Below are 5793 nucleotides of genomic sequence, written 5' to 3' on the forward strand. Positions count from 1 at the left end.
GTAGAGACAGGGTTTCTCCATGTTGGTCAAGCTGATCTCGAACTCCCGACCTCAGGTGATTTGCCTGTCTCGGCCTCCCAAAGTGGCTGGCTTACAGGCGTGAGCCACAGCGCATGGCCACTACCGTAGCTTTTTGAATTTTTAGTTATGGATGTAAAATTCACCATCGTTAAGTATACAGGCCTCATTACAGCATGCTTCTTTCCTTTTACTTAAAAAAAGTTTTAAAACTCAAGAACCCCCAAATTTTTTTTTTGTCCTGCTCTGTTGCCTAGGCTGGAGTGCAGGGGTGCCATCATGGCTTAGTGCAGTTTTGACCACCAGGGTTCAAGTGACTCTTCCACCTCAGCCTCCCGAGTAGCTGGAACTACAGATGTGTTCCACCATGCCCAGCTAATTAAAAAACATTTTTTTTTTTTTTTGTAGAGACAGGGTGCAGCGATGTTGCCCAGGCTGGTCTTGAACTCCTGGGCTCCTGCCTCGGCCTCCCAAAGTGCTGGGTTTACAGGTGTGAGCTAATACATGTTAACTGTAGAAAAATGATCAGATAAATATGAAAGAGCTAGTTCTCTGTATTCTTATTCCCAAGATATAATATTTTGGTATACATTACTTCATACGTTTTCCTCTGCGTAAAGCTCTAGTTTTTTTAATGGATAAAATTACACATACAAATGTTTTAACAACTTGCTTTTCTCAATTATTAATATATATTGGATAGTCTAGAGCCATACTTAAGAATGAATTACAATTATCAGCAGAGTTCCTTGAGGGCAGGGACTATCTTTTTTTTTTTTGAGGCAGAGTCTTGGTCTGTCGCCCAGGCTGTTGTGCAGTGGTGCAATCTTGGCTCACTGCATGACTCACTGCAAGCTCCACCTCCCAGGTTCACACCATTCTCCTGCCTCAGCCTCCTGAGTAGCTGGGACTACAGGCACATGCCACCATGCCTGGCTAAATTTTTTTTTGGTTTTTTTTTTTTTGTATTTTTAGTAGAGATGGGATTTCACTGTGTTCGCCAGGATGGTCTTGATCTTCTGACCTCGTGATCCTCCCGCCTCGGCCTCCCAAAGTGCTGCGATTACAGGCGTGAGCCACCGTGCCCAGCCTTAGGGCAGGGACTATCTTAAGTACAGTCATGTACCACTTGGTGTTTCAGTCAACAATGGACTGCATATATGACAAATATCCCATAAGATTATAGTGGAGCTGAAAAATTCCTGTTGCCTAGTGATATCAGAGTCATCATGACATCTTAGTGTAACATGTTACTCATGTTTGTGGCGATGCTGGTATAAACAAACCTACTGCACTGCCAGTCATATAAAAGTATAAACACACAGTTATGTATAGTACATAATACTTGATAATGATAGTACATAATTATGTTACTGATTTATGTATATACTCTATTATTCTTTTTTTAAGACGGGGTCTTGCTTTATCGCCCAGGCTGGAATCAAGTGGCGCTATCTCGGCTCACTGCAACCCCTGCCTCCCGGTTCAAGTGATTCTTCTGCATCAGTCTCCTGAGTAGCTGGGATTATAGGTGCGTGCCACCAGGCCCGACTAATTTTTGTATTTTTAGTAGAGATGTGGTTTCAGCATATTGGCCAGACTGGTCTTGAAATCCTGACCTCAAGTGATGTGCCTGCCTCGGCCTCCCAAAGTGCTGGGATGACAGGCGTGAGCCACTGCACCCAGCCTGTTTTATTCCAAAAAAAATTTAAGCCATTCAAATTTAGCAGTGGGGGGTTGTATACGAACTTTAGTGACACTAAATGTTAATAAGTTCTGATAACCCACTACCATTGGACCAACCTGTACTATAATTTTTTGTCATTAGAGTGTACTCCTACTTACATATATATAAAAAGTTAATTGTAAAACAGCATCAGGCAGGTCCTTCAGGAGGTGTCCAAAAGAGGGCGTTGTTACTATAGGCGGCGACAGCTCCATGCCTGTTATCGCCCCTGAAGACCTTCCAGTGGGACAAGATGTGGAGGTGGAAGGCAGTGATATTGATGATCCTGACCCTTTGTAGGCCTAGGCTAATGTGTGTGTTTATGTCTTGGTTTTTAATAAAAAAGTATTAAAGAGTAAAAAATAAAAAAATTAAAAGAAGCTTATAAAATAAGGATATAAAGAAAATATTTTTGTACAGCTATACAATGTGTTTGTGTTGTAAATGAAGCGTTAATACAAAAGAATAAAAACGTTAAAAAAGTTTAAACTTTTTTTTTTTTTTTTTTTTTTGAGAGTGAGTCTCTCTCTGTTGCCAGGCTGGAGTGCAGTGGCGCGATCTCAGCTCACTGCAACCTCTGCCTTCCAGGTTCAAGCAATTCTTCTGCCTCAACCTCCTGAGTAGCTGGGACTACAGGTGCCTGCCACCATGCTCGGCTAATTTTTTTGTATTTTTAGTAGAGACGGGGTTTCACCATGTTGGCCAGGATGGTCTCGATCTCTTGACCTCGTGATCCGCCCGCCTCGGCCTCCCAAAGTGCTGGGACTACAGGCGTGAGCCACCACACCTGGCCCCAGTTTAAATGTTTATAAAGTAAAAAAGTTAGAGTAAGCTAAGGTTAATTTATTATTGAAGAAAAAATTTTAATTAATTAGTCCAGCTTAAGTGTGCAGTGCTTATAAAGACTGTAGTAGTGTACAGCAATGTCCTAGATCTTCACATTCACTCCCCACTTACTCACTGACTCACCCAGAGCAATTTCCAGTCTTGCAAGCTCCATTTATTTATGGTAAGTACTCTATACAAGCATATATTTTAAAAAATCTTTTATACTATATTTTTACTGTATCTTTTCTATGTTTGGATACACAAATACTTGTGGTTGTGTTTCAGTTGTGCACAGCAGGCCATACAGTGACGTGCTGCACAGGTTTGTAGACCAGGAGCAATGGGTTATGCCACATAGCTTAGGTGTGTAGGAGGCTGTAGGTGTGTAGGTGTGTACCATCTAGGTTTGTGTAAGTTCACTCTATGATGTTCCTACAATGAAGAAATTGCCTAACGTGCATTTCTCGGAAACTATCCTCATCATTAAGCAACATAACTGTATTTATGAAACACAACACATAGGTGATTCAATTGTTAAATGACTGTATTATAATGATTCCTCCGAGACTACAGGTCACACATTTCAACCAATAATGGGACAACTTTTCCTTTAAATTTCTGTAGAACTCTTAAGATGGATGGTGTGATTCATTTAAATCACTGATTACATCTAACATTATTCTGTGTTCATATTCACTATTTACTTTAATAATTTGGTCCCAAATATTTTAAAAGAGCAAGTTAGAAGACAGTCTCATATCTGACACAGTAAATGGAAGAATACTAGTTAATTGATTCTACTATTGTTTCCACTCATCCATATGAACAGCCCAGTCCGCTCCCAACAGTGTCTCCCTGCCAGGTTGCATTAATAATGCAAATTAATATAAGTAGTAGTTGATTATATTCCATTTACGAGTACTATGCTTGGTTATGCCTGCATATAGAAAAATTCCAGTTTGGATTACAGATTCTTTTCTCACAACTCTTTCAGTGTTATTGTATTATCTAAAATAAATTATTGATTTAATGTCTCTTACCACGTTCAAGATTTCACTTACATCTCCAGCTATGCTTTTGGTCACTATCTAGACTTACATTAAGTAAACATAAAGTAAAAAGATGTGAGCAAAACACCATGCATTTGTCTTTGTTAATGATTTAGAAAAGCCTTAATTCAAATTATAATTTTATACCATTTTTAACCCATAATAGTTTGTAATCCAAGTTACAACATAGCCCAGTAATTTTGCCTGATGAGCCAAAGGCAGTTAAAAACCAAATTCTTTTTCTGGTTTTTAATATGTAAACTGATTGTTCATAAAATTTTCATCGTTTCACATATTTAACCTATCTCCCAAAGTTTAAATCACTAAAATAACATGGAAAATATATCATTGATTAATTTTCAGTCTGAGTATGAAAAACTACCCTAGTATGGACAAATGGACTTTTGCAATAAGCAGAATCAAGACAGTGAACAATGCCTCGTTGAGCCAGGAAAAAATGCAAGTCTTTGCATGTTAAAATACAAGAATGTTTTATGTCCTATCTACATTTATATTTATCTATCATTATATATTTAAGGTATGGGTATTATACTGTATTAGTATCATTCTATTGGCTTAACAAAAGGTTTTATTTAAAAAGTTCTCTTAGTCAATGTATTTTTTTTTTTTTTTTTTTGAGACAGAGTCTTGCTCTGTCGTCCAGGCTGGAGTGCAGTGGCGCCATCTTGGCTCACTGCAAGCTCCGCCTCCCAGGTTCACGCCATTCTTCTGCCTCAGCCTCCCAAGTAGCTGGGACTACAGGCGCCCGCCACCACGCCCAGCTATTTTTTTTGTATTTTTTTAGTAGAGACGGGGTTTCACCATGTTAGCCAGATGGTCTCGATCTCATGACCTCATGATCCGCCCGCCTCGGCCTCCCAAAGTGCTGGGATTACAGGTGTGAGCCACCACGCCCGGCCCAATGTACTTTTTAAAATAGACTTTATTTATTTATTGAGATGGAGTCTCACTCTGTCACCCAGGCTGGAGTGCAGTGGCACAATCTCAGCTCACTGCAATCTGTGCCTCTCGGTTTCAAGTGATTCTCGTGCCTCAGCCTCCCGAGCAGCTGGGATACAGGTGCCTGCCACCTCTCCTGGCTAATTTTTGTATTTTTTAGTAGAGATGGGGTTTTGCTATGTTGGCCAGGCTGGTCTCAAACTCCTGACCTCAGGTGATCCACCCGCCTCGGCCTCCCAAAGTGTTGGGATTACAGGCGTGAGCCACCACTTCCGGTCAACTTAGTTTTTTAGAACAGTTTGTATTTATAGAAAAAGAGAAGACAGCATTGAGTTCCCATATATAAACTCTCCTAGTTTCTCCTGTTAACATCTTACGTTAGTATGGTTCATTTGTTACAATTCATGAATGATATAATGATACATTATTAACTAAAGTTCATGGTTTATTCAGATTTCCTTAGTTTTCACCTAATGTTCTTCTGCTCCAGCATCCTATCCAGTTACCACATTACACTTGTCATGTCCTCTTAAGCTCCTCCTGGGTGTGGCAGTTTCCCTGACTTTCCATGTTTTGGTGACCCTGAAAGTTTTGAGTAGCATCATTAAGTGTTTCATAGGATGCCCCTCTGAATTTGTCTGATTTCTCATGATTAGACTAAGGTTATGGGTTGTGGAAGGACGGCCAGCTCAATGTAATTTTCTTAAGATAAATTTGATATGTATGGAGATAAAAACACACCTAGATTTCACCAAACTGTTGTCATGGACATAAACTTCAGTATCATTTTTAGTACTATGTCTCTGTTGTATAATTAGAGGCAGAAAAGAATATGATTTTTCAAAAGGTTGGCTTAAAAAAAAATGAGAGGTAGAGGCCGGGCACAGTGGCTCATGCTTGTAATCCCAGCACTCTGGGGGGCCGAGGCTGGCGGATCACGAAGTCAAGAGATCGAGACCATTCTGGCCAACATGGTGAAACCCCGTCTCTACTAAAAGTGTGAAAATTAGCCAGGCGTGTTGGCGTGCGCCTGTAGTCCCAGCTACTTGGGAGGCTGAGGCAGAAGAATTGCTTGAACCCGGGAGGTGGAGGTTGCAGTGAGCTGAGATTGTGCCATTACACTCCAGCCTGGTGATAGAGCGAGACTGTCTCAAAATAAAATAAAATTAAATTAAATTTTAAAAGAATTTTAAAAAGAGGTAGATAACATCA

At 40.1% G+C, this 5793-nt stretch overlaps 1 pseudogene; it reads right to left on the reverse strand.

The window, feature by feature from the left end:
- Positions 1729-1822, reverse strand: RNY4P9 (RNY4 pseudogene 9; annotated as a pseudogene).

Source organism: Homo sapiens, chromosome 13 (assembly GCF_000001405.40).
Source record: "Homo sapiens chromosome 13, GRCh38.p14 Primary Assembly".
Lineage (NCBI taxonomy): Eukaryota > Metazoa > Chordata > Mammalia > Primates > Hominidae > Homo > Homo sapiens.